The sequence below is a fragment of the Homo sapiens genome, chromosome 19, assembly GCF_000001405.40.
Source record: "Homo sapiens chromosome 19, GRCh38.p14 Primary Assembly".
NCBI lineage: Eukaryota > Metazoa > Chordata > Mammalia > Primates > Hominidae > Homo > Homo sapiens.
In genome coordinates, this window is record NC_000019.10 from 44978775 (window position 1) to 45000567 (window position 21793).

Sequence of the window (21793 nt, forward strand, 5' to 3'; positions counted from 1 at the left end):
TCATCTCTCAGTACTGGCACATTGGGGATTAAGTTTCACTGGGAGTGGGGAGTACTAGAGTACATCAGTAGTCCCAGCTACTTGGGAGGCTGAGGTGGGAGAATCAGCATGAGTTTTGGCCAGGACAAACATTCAAACCATAGCATTGTCCGTCCTCTTGTTTTCGAGAAGTTAATAATTGTTGTCATCTTTCTGCTTGCCTGGCTCTTTTTTTTTTTTTTTTTGAGACAGGGTCTCACTATGTCGCCCAGGCTGGAGTGCAGTGGACTATCTCAGCTCACCACAATTTCCACCTCCCAAGTTCAAGCGATTCTCCCACCTTAGCCTCCAAAATAGCTGGGACTACAGGCACACGCCACTACGCCCGGCTAGTTTTTGTATTTTTAGTAGAGACGGGGTTTCGCCATGTTGGCCAGGCTGGTCTCAAACTCCTGACCTCAAGTGATCGTCTGCCTCGGCCTCCCAAAGTGCTGGGATTACAGGTGTGAGCTGCCACACCCAGCCTTGCTTGGTTCTCTGTGAGCTTTTTCCCTGAGTCCTCTGTCTCCTGATGGGCAGCCGTAGAAATCTCTTGCTGTACCTGTTTGAGCGGAGCTGGAGAATGGCTTCCTCAGAAAGCCCCCCATTCTTCTAACGGGAGTTCTGTGTACTCCACCTAGCTTTCACTTTATTGAGGACTATTCCAGACATTCCCTGTGGATTTGGTTAAGATCCATCTGGCTGGTTTTGGGTGGCGCAGCAACAGACAGAATTCTATTTGTATGAGTTAGGTCTTACCTACTTCTTTTAGTACAAAAATATCCTAAAGGATGGTAATTTTTTTTTATCACCTATACTGGATGAAATGAAAAGTTGACTCTATGTGGGTCCCTAGAAATGACTTGGAAAGGTCTTCTGGAGTTACTTGAGCCCCTTTCTGAGTGAGTGTGTCTGAAGAATGTGCTGCGTTGGTATGTCCCACCCGGCTGACGTCCATGTGGTGAGATCTTTGGAGAACCAGGCAGAAGTGGCTTGAGGGGGTGTGACCTACAGGGTTGGTCTCACAGATGTTTCCCTGCAGGGGGATACGTCAGGGGTCTGGGCTAAAATGCCCGATGTTTCAGAGGTCGCTCTGAAGGTGACCCAGGTGGGTGGCTCTTCACCCTATTCTTGTACCCCGTTTGACGATCACCTAATCATCCCGTTGACCCAAATCGATGCCAGTATTTTCTGCAGTTTTGTCTTTGGTGAGTGTGATCCATGTCACTGTGTGGTGAGGTTTATTCACAGTCAGTCTGGTCTGTAAAATAGAACCTGCAGACAGTGAACCTGAAAAGCATACTAGGATCATCCAGGCCTCCCTCCCCAGCCTTGGAGCTGGGACCCTCAAAGCAGGGACATAGAAGGACTTGGAGTGAGCCACCCACAAACTCCAGGGTGAAGGAGAGTGTGAGTTCAGAAAAGCCCCCTTTTGGCTGGTTGTGGTGGCTCATGCCTGGAAACCCAGCACTTTGGGAAGCCAAGGCAAGCAGATCACTTGAGGTCAGGACTTCGAGACCAGCCTGGCCAACATGGTGAAACCCTGTCTCTACTAAAAATACAAAACTTAGCTGGGCATGGTGGCACATGCCTGTAATCCCAGTTACTCGGGAAGCTGAGGTGGGAGAATCTTTTGGACCCCGGAGGCGGAGATTGCAGTGAGCCGAGATCGTGCCACTGTACTCTAGCCTGGGCGACAGAGCAAGACTCCATCTCAAAAAAAAAAAAAAAAAAAGAAAAGAAAAGCCCCTTTTATCCCCAAGAGGCCAATAATCAGTATTCTAGAGCAGCTCCGTCCCATGGAGATAGGATGTGAGCCAGAGAAGGCATTAAAATTTTTCCAATAGAAAAATACTAAAGAGTAAAAAGGTAAAGAGAGGCCAGGCACGGTGGCTCATGCCTGTAGTCCCAGCACTTTGGGAGGCCAAAGTCAGAGGATCGCTTGAGCCCAGGAGTTTGAGGCCAGCCCTGGCAACATAGGGAGACCTCATCTCTACAAAAAAAAATTTTATTTTATTTTATTTATTTTATTTCATTTTATTTATTTATTATTATTTTTTTTTGAGATGAAGTCTTGCTCTGTTGCCCAGGCTGGAGTGCAGTGGTGCAGTCTCGGCTCACTGCAAGCTCTGCCTCCCGGGTTCACGCCATTCTCCTGCCTCAGCCTCCTGAGTAGCTGGGACTACAGGCGCCCGCCACCACGCCCGGCTAATGGTTTTTTTGTATTTTTAGTAGAGACCAGGTTTCACCGTGTTAGCCAGGATGGTCTTGATCTCCTGACCTCGTGATCCACCCGCCTTGGCCTCCCAAAGCACTGGGATTACAGGCATGAGCCAGCGCGCCTGGCCTATTTTATTTTATTTTTTTTTGAGACAGAGTTTCACTCTTGTTGCCCAGGCTGGAGTACAGTGGCATGATCTTGGCTCGCCACAGCCTCCACCTCCCAGGTTCAAGCAATTCTGCCTCAGCCTCCCAAGTAGCTGGGATTACAGTCATGTGTCACCACGCCCAGCTAATTTTGTATTTATAGTAGAGATAGGGTTTCTCCATGTTGGTCAGGCTGGTCTCGAACTCCCGACCTCAGGGGACCCACCTGCCTTGGCCTCCCAAAGTGTTGGGATTACAGGCGTGAGCCAAAAAATTTTTTTAAATTAGCCAGATATGGTGGTGCGCAACCTGTAGTGTCCTCCGACTCAGGAGGCTCAGGTAGAAGGATCATTTGAGTCCAGGAGGTCAAGGCTGCAGTGAACTGTGATCAGGCCACTGCACTTCAGCCTGAGCAACAAAGCGAGACCCTGTCTCAAAAAGAAATATAAATAAAATAATAAAAAGGTAAGGCCAGGGCCGTGATGGCTCACACCTGTAATCCCAGCACTTTGGGAGGCCAAGGCTAGAGGATTGCTTGAGCCTAGGAGTTCGAGACCAGCCTGGGCAACATGGCAAAACCCCCCCTAATAAAAATACAAAAATTAGCCAGGCATGGTGGCACATGCCTGTAATCCCAGCTACTCGGGAGCCTGAGGTAGGAGGATCACCCAAGCCCAGGAGGTTGAGGCTGCAGTGATCACACCACTGCACTCTAGCCTGGATAACAAAAGGAGACCCTGTCTCACAAATAAATAAATAAAAAGGTAAAGAAAAACCATGAGATTAATATCAATAATAGTTTAATTGAGCTCAACATATTCTCGTTTCAACATATGATCAGTATAAAAAGTGAGATATTTTACATTTTTGTTTCCCCTTGTGTCAGTTTTCAGAATCTAGTGTGTGTGACTGGGCACGGTGGCTCACATCTGTAATCCCAGCACTTTGGGAGGTTGAGGCAGGTGGATCACTTGAGGCCAGGAGTTTGAGACCAGCCTGGCCAACATAATGAAACCCCAGCTATACTAAAAATACAAAAATTAGGCGGGCATGGTGGCTAACGCTTGTAATTCCGTCTACTCGGGAGGCTGAGGCAGGAGAATCACTTGAACCCAGAAGGCAGAGGTTGCAGTGAGCTGAAATCGTGCCACTGCACTCTAGTCTGGGCGACAGAGCGAGACTATGTCAAAAAAAAAAAAAAGGGTCTAGCGTGTGTTTTATATCATAGCACTTCTTGGTTTGGACCAGCCATATTTGCAGTGCCCAGTAGCTGCATGTGGCCAGCAACCCTGATACTGGATGGTGCAGCTCTAGAAGATTTTCCTCCAAGAAAGGGGGGCTTTTTCCTCCCCACAGGAGCCAGGTCCATCTGGTCTGGATGCCTCCAAGCTGCAGAATGTGTTCTTTGCCTGAGCCAAAGCCTCTCTCCCCTGTGCCTCCCCCTCCACCAGCCAGCGCTGCCCTCTGGGGCTCTCCCTTCCCTGGACAGTCTCTGTCAGGTGTGGACACGATTGGGGCATGTCCCCCTGGAATTTTCTCCAAGTCAACCCTTGAGTGTTGGTTTCTCCCCCTGGACACAGGAGGAAGATCCCCAATGATTTAATAATCATAGAAATGATGAGGATTGGCCAGGTGGCTCAAGCCTGTAGTCCCAGCAATTTGAGAGGCCGAGGCAGGTGGATCACTTGAGGTTAGAATTTGAGACCAGCCTGGCCAACATGGTTAAACTCCGTCTCTACTAAAAATACAAAAATTGCTGGTCATGGTGGTGGATGCCTGTAATCCCGGCTACTCGGGAGGCTGAGGCAGGAGAATTGCTTGAACCTAGGAGGCAGAGGTTACAGTGAGCTGAAGTCATGCCACTGCTCTCTAGCCTGGGCAACAGAGTGAGACTCCATCTCAAAAAAAAAAAAAAAATGAGGATGACGTTTCTGCTAATAAGCAGTAGGCCCTGGGCCAAGAAGTGGTGAGGCTTTTCTTCCTTCTTTAGGGAAGTGACATCACTCACCAGCATCCCTTAGCTTGTAGGATTCAGAGCCAAGATTGCCCCCAGAGCCCCCGCTGTTGGCCAGGTCTCTTTCCCCTTTCCCTGTCTCTCCCTGGCCCCAGGGGACAGGATAGAGACTTGAGGGAGGGCAGACTGAGTTTTCCTTCATAGCATAAGGAAGAGCTGAAAAGTCCCCGGGCTCAGTGGCTCACGCCTGTCATCCCAGCACTTTGGGAGACTGAGGTGGGCAGATCACGAGGCCAGGAGATTGAGACCAGCCTGGGCAACATGGTGACACCCTGTCTCTACTAAAAATACAAAATTAGCCGGGCGTGGTGGTACACGCCTGTAGTCCCAGCTACCCAGGAGGCTGAGGTGGGAGAATAGCTGGAACCTGGGAGTCGGAGGTTGCAGTGAGCCAAGATCACACCACTGCACTGCAGCTTGGATGACAGAGCGAGACTCTGTCTCAAAAAAAAAAAAAAAAAAAAAAAAAAAAGAAAAGAAAAAAGAAAAATACTTAGCTTCTTTTCGGGCCAGGTGCGGCAGCTCACACCTGTAATCCCAGCACTTTGGGAGGCCAAGGTGGGCAGATCACGAGATCAGGAGATTGAGACAATCCTGGCTAACACAGTGAAACCCTGTCTTTACTAAAAATACAAAAAATTAGCAGAGCCTGGTGGCACACGCCTGTAATCCCAGCTACTTGAGAGGCTGAGGCAGGAGAATTGCTTGAACCCAGGAGGCGGAGGTTGCAGTGAGCCGAGATTGTGCCACTGCACTCCAGCCTGGGTGACAGAGCGAGACTCTGTCTCCAGAAAAAAAACAGAAACGTCCCCAGGCCAGGGCAGAGGTTGGGAGATGGAGCGTGGGCACGCACAAGCCCCTTCCTCCCCGGCAGCATTTGGGACAACATGGCAGGGGGCCTGTGGCCAACTGGGCCTCTGCGAGAGGAAGTGAGGCCAACTCCTGGCTGGGGATTCACAGCCTCAAAGTGTTTCTCATCTTGGTTTCTCATGTTGGTGGCTTCAGGCCTTTTTTGGAACCGTCTGCTGCCTCTTTATAGTCATGTATTCAACTGGTCATCACCGAGCCTGTGCAGGCGCCCCATGTGTATTCAAACAGGCCCTGCCCCTACCCGCATTTCCGCACAGAGTTTGCAGACTGGTTGCAGGGACAGACAGCAGGCAGGTAAACCACTGGCTAAGTGGTTTTGGATAGTGGTGAAATGTTGTGAAGGAAACAAGCTGGCAGGAGAATGACTGCATAGGCTCATTCAGTGGGGTGGCCAGGGAAGCCCTGTGGAAGAAGGACATTCTGCCAGGGACTTGAATGCCACGGAGGAGCCAGGCCACGAAGATTGTGTCAGGGCATGGGTTCCTGGGACACGGGGCAGCACGCCTGAAGGCCCCGGGTTGGCATGTTTGAGAAGTGGAAGGTGGTGAGGGTTGAGAGGTCACCGGGGCTACGGTGAGTGTCTGGGGTTCCAAAGCTGCGGGATGCCATGATCAGTCACTTGTTTTTATTTATTTGTTTGTTTGTTTTCTTTTTCTTTTTGAAACGGAGTTTCGCTCTTGTTGCCCAGGCTGGAGTGCAACAGTGCGATCTCAGCTTCCTGTAACCTCCACCTCCCTAGTTCAAGCGATTCTCCTGCCTCAGCCTTCCGAGTAGCTGGGATTACAGGCACCCGCCACCACATCCGGCTGATTTTTGTATTTTTATTAGAGACGGGGGGTTTCACCATGCTGGCCAGGCTGGTCTCTAACTCCTGACCTCAGGGGATCTGCCCGCCCCAGCCTCCCAAAGTGCTGGGATTACAGTGCCCTACTGAGCTGGGGTTTCTGCCTGGGGCATTTGGTGATGGTGGCGTCCCCATGATCATGAGGAACTGGGATTCGTTGAGATTTGGGGAGGCAGTTCTGGCATTCCAGGTCACATTGATCTCAGCAGGTGAGTGCAAGGTGGATGCCAGGAGACCGTGAGCCGTTGCTGGTGGGCAGGGGTCCGGGCTCTGGAGGCTGCAGGTGCCAGCAGGTCTCACGTCCCCTCCTTTCCCACCTCCCAACCACAGTGATCAACAAATACAAGCGCAGACGATTTCAGAAAACCAAGAACCTGCTGACAGGAGAGACAGAAGCGGACCCAGAAATGATCAAGGTAAATGGGCAGGGTTGTCAGGGCCTATAGGGACCAAGCCAGGCCATTCACAGCTCATCCCAGACCACTGGGGCTGTCATCTGTCACCACCACTGAACCACCATGCCGGCTCGGTCATGCCACCTCCCCTCCCTGAGCACTGGGCTCCTCCTCTGGGAAATGGGGTCAGGAGGCAGCTGTCTCTCAGGGAGTGAGGAGGATCCCAGACAAGGTTACCTGAGCCTCTTGCCAGCCTGGGAGGGGTCTACATCACAGTCCCATTGTCACATGAGGACACTTGCTCAGTCTCAGCCGGAAGTGGCAGGCCAGGGACTCTCACCCACACAGCCAGGCCCCAGAGCCCAAGCTCAGCCTGGCTCCAAGCACACACACGAGAATATGGCTTTAGTAGGAACTGCAGGATTCATAGTTGCTGTCACTCCCAGTGGGCTGGGGAGCCGGGCAGTTAATCTGTGGTTAACCTGCAGTGGGCACTAAGAGACTTCCTCTCTCTGCGGGTGGTCCTGTGTTGGGGGGGTGGTCCCTGCTCATGGAGCTGAGGCCACCGTGCAAGAGTGTGTGGAGCCTGCTGTCATGAGGCTGGGCTTCGCAGCCTGGCCTAGGATGCCAGCCCTGCCTCTACCTCTACCTCGGTTTTCTACATGTGGGGTGGGAGGATCCTGTCGGTGGCCGGAAGGGTCCTGGGTGGCGGAATCTCTAAGCCTAGGGAGGAGAGCCTTCTGCCAGCAGTTGCTGTGGTGGCTGATATTCTGCTGCCAGGGTTGTCAGGGGAGATGGCTCATGCCTGTTTTCCCAGCATTTTGGGAGGCCGAAGCAGAAGGATCACTTGAGCCCGGAAGTTCAAGATCAGCCCAGGCAGCATAGTGAGACCCCATCTCTTCCAAAAAAGAGAAAAAAGAAAGAAAGAAAAGAAGCTGTCCATGGTGGCTCACGCCTCTAATCCCAGCACTTTGGGAGGCCGAGGTGGGAGGATCGTGCTTGAGCCCAGAATTCGAGACCAGCTTGGGCAGCATAGTGAGACCCCATCTCAGAAAAAAAAGAAAGCAAAGATTAAGATTTTCTCGGGAACCCTGGGGAGGAAGTGTACAGAGAGTGATAGTCCCCGAGCACTTCCACCTGCCTCTGAGGTCCTTCCCCCCATGTTGCCTCAGAGGGCTGAGGACTATGGGCCTGTGGAGGTGATCTCCCATTGGCACCCCAACATCACCATCAACATCGTGGACGACCACACGCCGTGGGTGAAGGGCAGTGTGCCCCCTCCCCTGGATCAATGTAAGCTCCCCAGCCCTGCCAGCTGCCTGCAGAGCCTTTGAGAGGGTGCTCGGGGTCCATCTCCTTGTCTTCTCCTGGCCCTGTCCCCCTGAGAGAGCTTTCCAGGGCTCCACCCTCCCAAGCTCCCACCCTGTCCTATCCCCTTCCCATGTCCTCTCCCTCTCCCACACCACCACCCCTGGGGACCCCAGGACTGACTTCTACACGCCAGCATCGGTCCGCAATCAAGTGCCATCCAGCCCACAAACTGTTTTCAAAAAATGTCTTATCACTTGCCAGCTTTTGAAATTGAGGCAGTATCACTTAAAAGCCACAATTTCTGGCTTATTTTATAAAACTGGGTTACATGGTCACCCACAGGGCAGCCGTGGGCTGGAGCTGAGCCACAGCTGCCCCCTTCAGTGGGGACCTGCCTGCCCTTTGCCTCAGTCCCCTCTGCTGAGGTCAAGGCACCCTTTAGCTCCTCATGGTGTGGCCTAGAAATGTCCCCTGTCCTCCAGTCTCTGTAGAGGGGCCCTGTTGGGTCTCTCCAGACATCTGAGGCCTGCGGGTACCCTGGCCTCCTGCCCGGGCCAAATGGTGCCCCTGCCCCACGTGCTGCAGATGTGAAGTTCGACGCCGTGAGCGGTGACTACTATCCCATCATCTACTTCAATGACTACTGGAACCTGCAGAAGGACTACTACCCCATCAACGAGAGCCTGGCCAGCCTGCCGCTCCGCGTCTCCTTCTGCCCACTCTCGCTTTGGCGCTGGCAGCTCTATGCTGCCCAGAGCACCAAGTCGCCCTGGAACTTCCTGGGTGATGAGTTGTACGAGCAGTCAGATGAGGAGCAGGACTCGGTGAAGGTGAGTGCGGCCGGTGTGGGCGGGACTTCCCGGTGCCTTCCTGGGCGCAAGAGGCCAAGAGGAAGTGTGCCAGGCCTGGGCTGTGGGACCTCCCGCCTGGTGCTCCTCTGCCCACAGTTTCACAACCTCCCAGGTCCCTTCTCCACAGTGAAAGGAAGTGGGCACCCAGCCCTCCAGCCCTAGATGACTGGGGGTCCTCTCCCCAGGCTGTTCTGTTGGACCCTTTGGGTCCAGACCTGTCCCTTCCTCCTTCTGTCCCAGACCTTGTGTCCCTGGCCCTGGCTCCAACTCTGTGTCTCTGCCATCTCACTGGGTCCTGAAATGTCAGCCTGTGTCTGTGGCGTGAGGCTCGGCTTTGCCTCCTGGGCTGTCGTCACTGTTGGGTCTCTGCTCCTGGCTCCCAGTGTCCCTTCACCCACTCCCCGCAGCACTCCCTTGGCCTCTGCCTCTTCCCCTAGTGCCATCTCCCCGTCTCTTCTGTCTTTGTGAGTCACCCTCCTCTCTCTCCCCATCTGCCCATCTCTGACCCAGTCTCCTCCTGGCTGGCCCACCTTCAGCCTCCCTCTACAGGCGGCCCCAGGGGCAGCCCTCGGGACAAAAGCTAGTGAAGGTGCTCCTGGGTGGGGACAGGCTGTGCTCACATGTGTCCCCTGCAGGTGGCCCTGCTGGAGACCAACCCCTACCTGCTGGCGCTCACCATCATCGTGTCTATCGTTCACAGTGTCTTCGAGTTCCTGGCCTTCAAGAATGGTAGGAACAGGACCCCAGGGCTAGTGAGAGGCTGTGCAGGGTGGGGGACAGGACCTGCCCCCTTCCTCCTCCCCTCCCTCCCCACATGTCCTCCCCCTGCCTGGGGTCTCTCAGCCCCACTCTCCAGAGGCCTAGTGAGCTGGGGAGGGGCAGTGGCCCCAAAACTCCCAACCCAGAAATTCCCACCCACCGGGTGTGGAGCTGAGGGAGGGGCTGGCCCGCTGGTGGGGCAGAGGCCAGGCCAATACTGCCAGGAAGCAGGGCTGGGGAACTCCAGAGCCAAGAGCAGGGAAGCCCCGGAGCTGCTCCCGCCACCCTGCCCGGCAGGCTGCCTGCTGCGGGAGGCCGCTTAGGGCTGAGTGGACGGGGCCTGCCCAAGTGGGAAGGAGGAGCACTGTCCCCCAAAGGTCCCTAGGTTCTAAGGCTGACCATACTGATGGCCAGCGTTTGAGGAGAAGCAGCCACATGCCAGGCACTGTCCTGGGTACCCTCCCCAGTAGCTCCTTGAGCCCTGTGGGAGCCAGAGGCTCAGGGATGTCACTTGCCCAGTCACACGGTTCCTAAGGGGCAGATGGTTCCAGCCCCAACTCTCATCTTCTAGGCCCTGCAGGCCACTTCTTCCTTGCCCAGAGCACCCCAGTCTGAAGGAGTGGCCTGCGGCCCTGTAGCTCCCGCAGGCGGCAAGAGGAATGAGTAGTAGTATTCCTGGTATTAAGATGCTATTGCCGGCCTGGTGGTGGCTCTCGCCTGTAATCCCAGCACTTTGGGAGGCCAAGGTGGGAGGATCACCTAAGCCCCGGAGTTTGAGACCAGCCTGGGCAACAAAGCGAGATTCGTTTCTACACAATTTTTTTTAAGAATTAGCTGGGCATGGCAGCGTGTGCCTATGGTCTCAGCTACTCGGGAGGCTTGGGCCTGAAAGGTCAAGGCTGCCGTGAGCCATGATCACACCACTGAACTCCATCCTAGGCAACAGAGTGACACCCTGTTCCAAAAAAAAGGACGCTCTTGCCATTATTGAGAACTACCATCTGGAAGAATGCAGTGTCATACGGGCACAGGAGCTGGTGCCGACCCCAGCCAGCCATCTACCAGCTGTCGCTGGGAGACGGGACCCTTCTGCCTAGGAGCTGGCTTGGCTGGGGTCCAGTGAGAAATGAGGCACAAGAAGGCTGTCCTCCCCAGTGTCATGCAGCAGGGGGCGCAGGCCTCACTTGGCACCAGTGCTGTGTGGCCTCCCTGGTCTAAGGAGAGGCTTGGGCCCAACTGCTCCCACGAGAACCCACCAGAACCCTGTCTCCAGACCCATTCTTCTCAGTTGGGACAGGGGTCATTCTGATGGGCAGGGGTGGGTGGGGTGAGGCTATGGAGTGTGCCAGAGCTCTGGGATGTGGGGGAGCTCTGGGATGTGGGGGAGCTCTGGGATGGGGTAGGGTGCACATGGACCAGAATTCACAGCCCTCACTCCCTGAGTGCAGAGCTGGCCCTGACTCTGCAGGACTGCAGACCTGGCTCCACCACTGTGCTACAGACGTGGTGGCTCAGCCTCCTGTGGCTGCGGTTAGATGCTCAGCCGGGCGGGGTCAAGAGAGGGGTGTCCGTGGTGAGACCAGGGCTCAGAGAGGAGCATGCTGACATGGATCCTTGGCAGCATCTAGGCGGAGCACTGGAAGGAGCTCCAGACTGGAGCCCAGGGCCCTTTTCAGTTTCCTGAGCATGGCTGTGAGCCAGTTCCTTCCCGGTGTCAGGGCAGGGGCCTGGAGGAGGTGGTCTTGAAGTGCATGCCACAGATCTTCCTTCCCAGGGAGGGCGAGCTGGCACCATGGTGTGGCACAGACCCCGCGTCCCTTCAGATTCTGCCATGCCAGGCTGTTTGGCCTCAGGGAAGCAGCTTCCCTGACCAGTCCTTAGCACCTGGCACGTGGTGAGCCCTGTCCATGGCACCAGTCACCGTCACCATCAGTCAAGGGACTGCACCTTGGGGTGCTGGGTGCTGACGTCCTATGGGAGGGCTCCAGGGGTGCCGCCTGTCTGGTGCTCTGGGGGTCACCCAATGAATATGAGAGCCTTCCTGGGAGAGAGGGGTCTCGTTCAGCACCCCTCCTGAGGACCCAGCCCCACCCCAGGGTGTGAGGATGCAGGCCAAGGGGGCCTGAGGGAGCTGCAGTAGGGTCTCAGCACCTCCTCAGCCTCCTGGTTCCCCCCTACCCCCTGCGCACAGATATCCAGTTCTGGAACAGCCGGCAGTCCCTGGAGGGCCTGTCCGTGCGCTCCGTCTTCTTCGGCGTTTTCCAGTCATTCGTGGTCCTCCTCTACATCCTGGACAACGAGACCAACTTCGTGGTCCAGGTCAGCGTCTTCATTGGGGTCCTCATCGACCTCTGGAAGATCACCAAGGTCATGGACGTCCGGGTAAGGCTGGGGCGCCATGCTGTCTCGGGAGCTGCAGGGGTTGGGAGGGGGTAGTGTGGCCCAGCTGGACCCTGGAGCTGGCCCCCGGGGGATTCCCAGCAAGTGCCTCACTCCCAGGACTGAGGGGATTTTCTCACCAGGGGATTTTTTGGGTCACACATGGGGCAGGGGAACTGGGAACGGTGGGGAAGGGCAGGGGCTGGTTCTGGCTTGTGGGGTGGGAGCCAGCGTAGCAACTGACCATGGCACCCACCTCATCCACAGCTGGACCGAGAGCACAGGGTGGCAGGAATCTTCCCCCGCCTATCCTTCAAGGACAAGTCCACGTATATCGAGTCCTCGACCAAAGTGTATGATGATGTGAGTGTCCTGCACAGTGGGCCCCTGGGGGTGGTCTCCAGGTACCACGTATCCCTGAGGCACCCGGGGCCGGCCATCTGTCTGCCGGACCCATGCTTTACAGCCTGTGCCACATCCTCTGTGTCCCCCATCTGCCATAACTGCTTCCCTGGGCGAGTCCGGAGTCCCCAGGGCTACCTGGAAATTCCCCCTGCCCGGCCTGCCAGACCAGGTGTGGTGGGTGAGGGCGGGGAGCAGGGCTGCCAGGCAGGGCTGAGGAGCTGGCTGACAGCCCCACCCTGTGGCCCCACAGATGGCATTCCGGTACCTGTCCTGGATCCTCTTCCCGCTCCTGGGCTGCTATGCCGTCTACAGTCTTCTGTACCTGGAGCACAAGGGCTGGTACTCCTGGGTGCTCAGCATGCTCTACGGCTTCCTGCTGACCTTCGGTGAGCGGTCCGGCCGCCCCAGGAGAGAGCAGGCCCCATGCTGCGCAGGGCTCACAGCCCCAGTGTAGGAGACAGACCCATCCCCAGACAGGGACAACCTAGGGTGGGCAGAGCTGGGATATAGGGAGGCCCGAGGGCACACATGGCCCCATCTGGGGTCAGAGAGGACTTCAGGGAGGACATGAACAGTACGCTTCAGTCCTCATTCTCAGGGGGCCTTTGTGTCTTGGGAACAAGTAAACAAGTAGGGCCAGGTGCAGTGGCTCACACCTGTTATCCCAATGCTTTGGGAGGCTGAGGCAGGAGGATCACTTGAGCCCAGGAATTCGTGACCAGCCTGGGCAACTTGGCAAGACCCGATCTCTACAAAAAAACACAGAAATTATTGGGGAGTGGTGGTGCGTGCCTGTAGTCCCAGCTACCTGGGAGGCTGAGGTGGGAGGATCCCTTGAGTCCAGGAGGTTGAAGCTGCAGTGAGCCATGATTACGCCACTGCACTCCAGCCTGGGTGACAGAGTGAGACCCTGTCTCAAAAAACAAAAGACCGGGTGAATCACAGCCAATAGTGAGTACTGTGAAGGGCAGAGTGGTGGGAGGATGCACATTAATAGGGGTCCGGGGGCCCCTCTGAGGACAGGACATTTAAACAGAGGCCTCAGATATCCAGGGAGAGAGCTGTGCGGATGTGACAGAAGGCCCCACCAGTGCAGAGGCCGCTGGTAGAGTGTGCCCAGGTATAGGAAGTGGTAGAGTGTGCCCAGGTGTAGGAAGTGGTGAGGGGGCTGGTATGGCCAGTGCAGAGTGCACAGGGGAGAGGTGGGAGAGGCCATCCCTCTGCTCATGGGTGCTCTCACTGCAGGCTTCATCACCATGACGCCCCAGCTCTTCATCAACTACAAGCTCAAGTCTGTGGCCCACCTTCCCTGGCGCATGCTCACCTACAAGGCCCTCAACACATTCATCGACGACCTGTTCGCCTTTGTCATCAAGATGCCCGTTATGTACCGGATCGGCTGCCTGCGGGACGGTGAGGCCCGGTGGGCAGGTGGGAGCTCCCACCGGAACAGGGCCCTGAGGCAGTCTTTAGGGCCCAGGCCTGAGGGGGTGCCACGGCCCCAGATGGGGTGCTCAGTCTGAGGGGGCTCGGCCCCGCCCTTGCATCACGCCCTCTCCACCCAGGCCCACCTGGCTGTGGACGGGCCAGCCCGACCTCACACTGCCTCCCACCCCTCTCCAGATGTGGTTTTCTTCATCTACCTCTACCAACGGTGGATCTACCGCGTCGACCCCACCCGAGTCAACGAGTTTGGCATGAGTGGAGAAGACCCCACAGCTGCCGCCCCCGTGGCCGAGGTTCCCACAGCAGCAGGGGCCCTCACGCCCACACCTGCACCCACCACGACCACCGCCACCAGGGAGGAGGCCTCCACGTCCCTGCCCACCAAGCCCACCCAGGGGGCCAGCTCTGCCAGCGAGCCCCAGGAAGCCCCTCCAAAGCCAGCAGAGGACAAGAAAAAGGATTAGTCGAGACTGGTCCTCACCTGCTCCGGCTCCTGGCGACCACTACCCCTGCGTCCCGGCCCCCTCGCCTCCCCTCCCTGTCGCCCTTTCCCTGGACAGATCAGGCCGGGGCGGTGGGAGGCCCGCCTCAGGTCAGGGCCCAGCGTGTGATGTAGGGGCCGGGGCAGGCCAGGGTTTGTTTGTGGAGGCGCTGTCTGTCCCTCTGTCCCTCTGTGTTTCCAGCCATCTCGCCCTGCCAGCCCAGCACCACTGGGAATCATGGTGAAGCTGATGCAGCGTTGCCGAGGGGGTGGGTTGGGCGGGGGTGGGGCCGGGCCCCCCTACGGGATGCCCACGGCCGTTCATCATCTTGTCCCTCGTCCCCCTACCACACTCCCCCTCCTAGACCGCCGCCCTTTAACACAGTCTGGATTTAATAAATTCATATGGGTGTTTAACTTAAACTCAGCACTGCCCCTCCTCCTCGTGCCTTCCTTCCTCTGTTGCCTTGGACAACAGCTTCCAGCAGGGATGAGGTGGCTTTCCTGGGTCTGGGAGAGTGACCTGACACGGTACGGGACCTGTAAAGGTGGGGATTGTGACCTTGTGTCAAGAACCATACCTGGCCGGGCGCAGTGGCTCACACCTATAATCCCAACACTTTGGGAGGCTGAAGTGGATGGATCACTTGAGGTCAGGAGTTTGGGACCAGTCTGGCCAACATAGTGAAACCCTGTCTCTACTAAAAATACCAAAATTAATTGGGAATGCTGGCAGGCACCTGTAATCACAGATACTCGAGAGGCTGAGGCAGGAGAATCATTTGAACTCGGGAGGCGGAGGCTGCAGTGAGCCCAGATCACACACTGCACTCCAGCCTGGACAACACAGCAAGATTCCATCTCAAAAAAAAAAAAAAAAGCCATACCCGCCAGGCCAGGCCTCTTCCTCACTTCTCGCCCTCCCACCAGCCCTCTGAGATTTCATTAACTGGCCTCATTTCAGATTGCTGGGGAAGCTGCTTGCAGGGAGCTCGCTGCCCTATACCCTTTCCTGCCAGCTGCCCCTGCTGGGTGCAGGCTGGAGCCTGCCATGTGCCCGCTGAATGTCTCCTAACCCGACACCACCAGGCAGGGCCAAGTACAGCTTTCAGCCGGGTCGCCATGAGCACCTGCCACCCTGAGGCCTCAGCACAGCAGTTGGGGCACGCTAAATGTGTGCCATTGGCTTTTTGCGCTGACACCCACTCCCAATTTTGGGGAGCATGGGGGTGAAGGCTCAGCCTGCCTGAGTGGCACCTGGTTGGCTGGCTGTAGCACTCTGTGAGTGTTGGGGTGTCATATCACATCCCCGGGGCTGCCTGTGCTGACAACAGAGGTGGCATGAGTTGGATTTCCCATCCCAGCCCCTGGTGCTGGGACTCTTCGCCCACTGGATAGGTGAGCTGAGCGAGGCCTCTGTGTTCTGAGGGCTGGGGACCCTACATTCCCAGGTTTACTGTTTTGGGGGGTGGTCTCAGCAACACTTCTGGGATAGGGGGCCCAACGCTGAGGACCACACCAGGTTCCTTCAGGCTCCAGCTGCCACCCCATATTGCAGAGCCAGTCAGGGGATCCATGAGGCCCCAGGGAGACGATGGCACCCTCGGAGCCCCATACCACAGGTCCACAGGCCATGGCAGTCTCCCATCCCTCAGGGCAGCCATGGGTCTCCATTACCCGCCCCCCAACTCTATACCATTCCATGGATCCCCGGTGCCCTTGGAGGAACCCCAGCCTCTGCACCATGGCCTGACTGACAGGCTCCTAGGAACCCCGGAGGTACAGGGCTCTGCAGCCCCTTGAGACTGGTGGGCTCTCCAGCCACCTGGACTTCCTGGCCTCGTCACCCCTGGTTCTTCCTCCTCTCACAGCTCCACGCCCAAGCCTTTGACAAGGCCCATCAGCTACCCCCACAACTCCCTGGGGGTCTCACCTCTTCATTGGGACCACCTGCTCCACCTGCTCCATGCCCCTCCTTACCCTGTGGTGTTCTTGCTCAGTGTTCTGTCTGGTCCCCTGTCCCGGTCCTGCCCTCCCCACATCCCATTCACACTCTAGCTAGCAGCTAGAGGAAACTCTTTTTTTTCTTTGAGACAGAATCTTGCTCTGTTGCCCAGGCTGTAGTGTAGTGGTAGGATCTCAGCTCACTGCAACCTCTGCCTCCTGGGTTCAAGTGATTCTCCTGTCTCAGCCTCCTGAGTAGCTAGGATTACAGACATGCACCACCACGCTTGGCTAATTTTTTGTATTTTTAATAGAGACGGGATTTCGCCATGTTGGCCAGGCTGGTCTCGACCTCAAGCAATCTGCCCACCTCAGCCTCCCAAAGTGCTGGGATTACAGACATGAACCACCCTGCCCGGCCCAGCTAGAGGAAACTTTATAGTTTATTCTACTAAAGCACAAACCTGACCCTGCCCAGCCCTTGCTCAGAACCTACTGTGGGTGCACAGTGACCTCAGGAGAAAGCCCAGGCTCCTTACTGGGGACTGAGACCTTGGTGATGGGGACACTTATTAACCCCTGCATCCAGCCTGGTCTTCCCCCTACCTGGATCCTGCCCCCAGGCACACAACCCCTGTCCACTTCTTTTTTTCTTTGAGAGAGTCTTGCGTTGTCCCCCAGGCTGGAGTGCAGTGGCACAATCACAGCCCTGCAGCCTTGACCTGCTGGCTCAAGCGATCCTCCTGCCTCAGCCTCCCAACTACCTAGGACCACAGGCAAGTGCCACTACGCCTGCGTAATTATTTATTTATTTATTTAGTATTTTTATTTATTATTATTATTTTTTGAGATGGAGTCTCACTCTTGTTGCCCAGGCTGGAGTGCAGTGGCACGATCTTGGCTCACTGCAACCTCCACCTCCCGGGTTCAAGCGATTCTTCTGCCTCAGCCTCCTGAGTAGCTGGGATTACAGGCACCCACCATCACACCCGGCTAATGTTTGTATTTTTAGTAGAGACAGGGTTTCACCATCTTGGCCAGTCTGGTCTCGAACTCCTGACATTGTGATCCACCTGCCTCGGCCTCCCAAAGTGCTGGGATTACAAGTGTGAGCCACAGCACCTGGCCGCCTGCGTAATTTTTAAATTTTTTGTAGAGTTGGGGTCTCTCGATGTTGCCAAAGCTGGTTTCAAACTCCTGGCCTCAAGCAGTCCTCCCAGCTGGGCCTCCCAAAGTGCTGGGATTACAGGCCTGAGCCATCACAGCTGGCTTATCCCTTCTTTATCTTACCCATGTGTCCTCCAAGCTGTGGCTCCAATGCTCACTCCTGTAGGAAGCCCTCCCTGACTGCCAAGTTCTCTGGGGTCTCTCATGGCAGCCCTGCCCACTGTGAGTCATCACTGGGGACAGGTTGGTCTCTTCCACTGGATGGAGCCCCGTGAGGACATAGCCAGACCTGTCTTGATCACTGCTGTGTCCCCAGCATAGGGCCAAACACAGAGAAGCCACGCCAGGAATATTTAATGAGTGCATGTTGAACAACCCCAACATTCACTTTCCCAGACACATGAACACATCCAGAAGTGTGGACCTCGGTGGGGCTCATATTCAGACACTGGAGACTGTGACAAGCAGTCAACAAATGTAACAGCTGAACCCTGCCCCTGGGTAGTGCCGTGTGCTGGGGTGTTTTGTGTATACAGCCAGGACCAAGACAGACCCAGACCTGCCGTCATGGGGCTCACAGCCCAGCAGAAATCCTGAGCACTGAGGATATCTGACATGTCCTTTTTAATTTTTATTTTTATTTATTTACTTTTTTTTTTTTTTTTGAGATGGAGTCTCGCTCTGTTGCTCAGGCTGGAGTGCAGTGGCACGATCTCGGCTCACTGCAGCCTTCGCCTGTCGAGTTCAAGCAATTCTCCTGTCTCAGCCTCCTGAGTAGCTGGGACTACAGGCACCTGCTACCAAGCCCAGCTAACTTTTGTATTTTTAGTAGAGACAGAGTTTCACATTTCACCATATTGGTCAGGCTGGTCTCGAACTCCTGACCTCAAGTGATCTGCCTGCCTCGGCCTCCCACAGTGCTGAGATTACAGGCATGAGCCACGGCGCCTGGCTATCCTTTATTTATTTATTTATTTATTTATTGAGACAAAGTCTTGCTCTGTCGCCCAGGCTGGAGTGCAGTGGCGCGATCTCGGCTCACTGTAAGCTCTGCCTCCCAGGTTCAAGCAATTCTTCTACCTCAGCCTCCTGAATAGCTGGGATTACAGGAGTGCGCCACCACGTCCAGCTAATTTTTGTATTTTTAGTAGAGATGGTATTTTACCATGTTGATCAGGCTGGTCTCAAACTCCTGACCTCATGATCCACCCGCCTCAGCCTCACAAAGTGCTGGGATTACAGACGTGAGCCACTGTGCCTGGCCCCTTTTTATTTATTTGTGTTCTTTTTGAGATGGAGTCACTGTCACCCAGGCTGGAGTGAGTGCAGTGGCACGATCTCACTTCACTGCAACCTCCGCCTCCTGGGTTCAAGTGATTCTCCTGCCTCAGCCTCCTGAATAGCTGGGATTATAGGTGCCCGCCACCACACCAGCTAATTTTTGTATTTTTAGTAGACATGGGGTTTCACCATGTTGGCCAGGCTGGTCTTGAACTCCTGACCTCAGGTGATCTGCCTGCCTCAGCCTCCCAAAGTGTTGGGATTACAGGCATGAGCCACCGTGCCTGGCCCTGACATGTCCTTTTAGTCATTCAGCAAACTTTTTTTTTTTTTTTTTTTTTTTGAGACAGTCTCACTCTGTCACCTAGGCTGGAGTGCAGTGGCGTGATCTCAGCTCACTGCAGCCTCCACTTCCTGGGTTCAAGTGATCGTCCTGCCTCAGCCTCCCTAGTAGCTGGGACTACAGGCACATGCCACCACACCCAGTTAGTTTTGTATTTTTAGTAGAGACGGGGTTTCACCACGTTGGCCAGGCTGGTCTTGAACTCCTGACCTCAGGTGATCCGCCTGCCTTGGCCTCCCAAAGTGCTGGGATTACAGGCATGAGCCACTGCACCCAGCCTCAACAAACATTTTTGAGGCCTGGCATTGGCAAGAGGCAGAGAGGAATCAGGAGAGCTTCTGGTCCTATAACAATTGGAGCTGCTATTTGTCATCCTTATCATAAGCCAAGCACTAGTGTAAGTGCTGCATGTGGTTGGCTTCATCCATTACATTTAATATTATTCAGTGTCCTCGTCACCTTACTGGTCCATCACTCTGCCCTCATCTCTACCCCTTTCCTGTCAGTCACTCTGCACCAGCCTTCTTGCTATTCCTTAAGCATGCCATGCATGTTCCTACCACAGGGCCTTTGCACGTGCTAGCCCCTGTGCTTTGAACACTCTCCCCCAGATATCCACATGAATCCCTCACCTCCTTTGACTCCCTGTTCAAATGGCACCTCTCAGACCCTGATCTTCCTAACCCAAACTATCTTCCGAACTCCTTCTCGTTATCCTGCTCTATCCTGTAATACTGCCATCACCATCAGACATAATATTTGCTTATCTGTTTTCCATCTGTCTCCTCACTTGGATTTCCTTGATGGCAAGGGCTTTTTGTCTGCTGTGTGCCTTGCTATGTCCCTAGCTTTTAGAGCAGTGCCTGACACTGTTACGCTGTGTGTAATAACTGTAAATTGAAGAGCCAGGCACAGTGGCTCACGCCTGTAATCCCAGCGCTTTGGGAGGTTCGGGCAGAAGGATCACTTGAGGCTAGGAGGTCAAGATCAGCCTGGGCAACAGCAAAATCCCATGTCTTAAATAAAAGAAAGAAGACCGGGTGTGGTGGCTCACGCCTGTAATCCCAGCACTTTGGGAGGCCAAGGCAGGCGGATCACGAGGTCAGGAGATTGAGACCATCCTGGCTAACACGGTGAAACCCTGTCTCTACTAAAACTACAAAAAATTAGCCAGGCATGGTGGCGGGCGCCTGTAGTCCCAGCTACTCGGGAGGCTGAGGAGCAGAATGGCGTGAACCCGGGAGTAGGAGCTTGCAGTGAGCCGAGATCGCGCCACTGCACTCCAGCCTGGGTGGCAGAGGAAGACTCCATCTCAACAAAAAAAAAAAAAGAAAGAAATAGGGCTGGGCACAGTGGCTCACGACTGTAATCCCAGCACTTTGGGAGGCCAAGACAGGCGGATCACCTGAGGTCAGGAGTTCAAGACCAGCCTGGACAACATGGTGAAACCCCATCTCTACTAAAAAAAAAAAAAAAAAAAGAAAGAAAGAAATGTAGTCCCAGCACTTTGGGAGGCTGAGGTAGGCAGCTCGCTTGAATCCAGGAGTTTGAGACCAGCTTGGGCAACATGGTGAAACCTCATCTCTGCTAAAAACACAAAAATTAGGCCAGGCATGGTGGCGCACACCTGTGGTCCCAGCTCACCAGCTGTGTGGCCTCAGGCAACTGACTTCATCTCTCTGAGCTTCAGTTTCCCGTCTGTAAAGTGGGTCTAATAATAGGACGGTCATGAGTATTAAATAAAATGATGTTAATAGTTAGTTGCCCTTTGGCCAGGTGCACTGGCTCAGCCTAAGCAACAGATCCTCTCTCTACAAAAATAGAAAACAGGCTGGGCGCAGTGGCTCATGCCTGTAGTCCCAGCTACTTGGGAAGCTGAGGCAGGAGAATCGCTTGAACCCGGGAGGCAGAGATTGCAGTGAGCTGAGATCGCACCACTGCACTGCAGCCTGGGTGACAGAGCGAGACTCCATCTCTCAAAAAAAAAAAGAAAGAAAAGAAAAGAAAACATTAGCCGGATGCGGTGGTGTGTGCCTGTAGTCCCAGCTACTCTGGAGGCTGAGGTGAGAGGATCCCCTTAGTCCAGGAGGTTGAGGCTGTGGTGAACCATGTTCCTGCCACTGCACTCCAACCTCGGTGACAGAGTGACACCCTGCCTCAAAAAAAAAAAAAAAGTTCACATTTGTATATAGCACCCACATGTGCCAGGCCCTGTTCTAAGAATTTTGTGTTTTAAATATTTGTGTCTATTAATTTGTGTGACCTTGGAGAAATTAATTTTGCCGGGTTTCAGTTTTCTCATCTGCTATGTGGGGATCAATAACACCATATACTTCACACAATTGTTGTGAACATTCAACTTACAGAGTTATTTCTTTTTCTTTTTGAGACAAGGTCTCACTCTGTCACCCAGGCTGGAGTGCAATAGCGTCATCACAGCTCACTGCAGCCTCAACCTCCCAGGCTCAAGCAATCCTCCTGCCTCGGCCTCCCAAAGTATTGGGGTTACAGGTGTGAGCCACCGTGCCTAGCCAGAACACCCAAATTTTATACAAGCAAAGGAAAGACAACAAACCCTGCATCTGTGGTCTGAGAGCGCCTGGCATCCAACTTAGAACCTAATAGATCACCTAGTCGTTCTCAGGAATATGAGAGGCTTAGGAATGTGATCTAGCCAAATGGCTGCCCCTCTTTCAGCCTGAGTCCCTTCTGCAATAATCCTATCATATGCTTCTGGCGCTGGTGATAGGGATGAGCTCAGGGTTTAGGCACACAGCTCAGGATGTATACGGAGGCTACACTGCTGCCATTCGCAGACTGAATAACTGAGCTTTTGAGCTCAAAGTGGTCTGGGCTATTTATGGGTAACTTTCAGGGGCTGCAGGGAGGAACAAACCAATAAATAAAACATCCATGCA

The 21793-nt window shown here is 54.7% G+C and overlaps 1 protein-coding gene across 3 annotated transcripts in view, besides 2 other annotated features; it reads left to right on the forward strand.

Moving 5' to 3' along the window:
- The window catches only part of CLPTM1 (CLPTM1 regulator of GABA type A receptor forward trafficking), a 38757-nt gene extending 24190 nt beyond the window's left edge, over window positions 1–14567 (forward strand). For all 3 annotated transcript variants that reach the window (NM_001282176.2, NM_001282175.2, NM_001294.4), the window contains exons 6-14: window positions 6444–6529; window positions 7681–7801; window positions 8405–8649; window positions 9306–9399; window positions 11621–11811; window positions 12076–12171; window positions 12464–12599; window positions 13459–13626; window positions 13837–14567. In NM_001282176.2, coding sequence (NP_001269105.1) covers window positions 6444–6529; window positions 7681–7801; window positions 8405–8649; window positions 9306–9399; window positions 11621–11811; window positions 12076–12171; window positions 12464–12599; window positions 13459–13626; window positions 13837–14123 — 1424 coding nt within the window. In that variant the 3' untranslated portion in view covers window positions 14124–14567. The remainder of the gene's footprint in view (window positions 1–6443; window positions 6530–7680; window positions 7802–8404; window positions 8650–9305; window positions 9400–11620; window positions 11812–12075; window positions 12172–12463; window positions 12600–13458; window positions 13627–13836) is intronic.
- Window positions 10327–10486: an enhancer, noted in NCBI's record as "active region_14776". NCBI's record gives its function as "activates an Ori minimal core promoter by ATAC-STARR-seq in GM12878 lymphoblastoid cells {active_cell/tissue: GM12878}" and the evidence as "EXISTENCE:reporter gene assay evidence [ECO:0000049][PMID:35858748]".
- Window positions 10967–11016: an enhancer, noted in NCBI's record as "active region_14777". NCBI's record gives its function as "activates an Ori minimal core promoter by ATAC-STARR-seq in GM12878 lymphoblastoid cells {active_cell/tissue: GM12878}" and the evidence as "EXISTENCE:reporter gene assay evidence [ECO:0000049][PMID:35858748]".
- Window positions 14568–21793: the final 7226 nt, after the last annotated feature.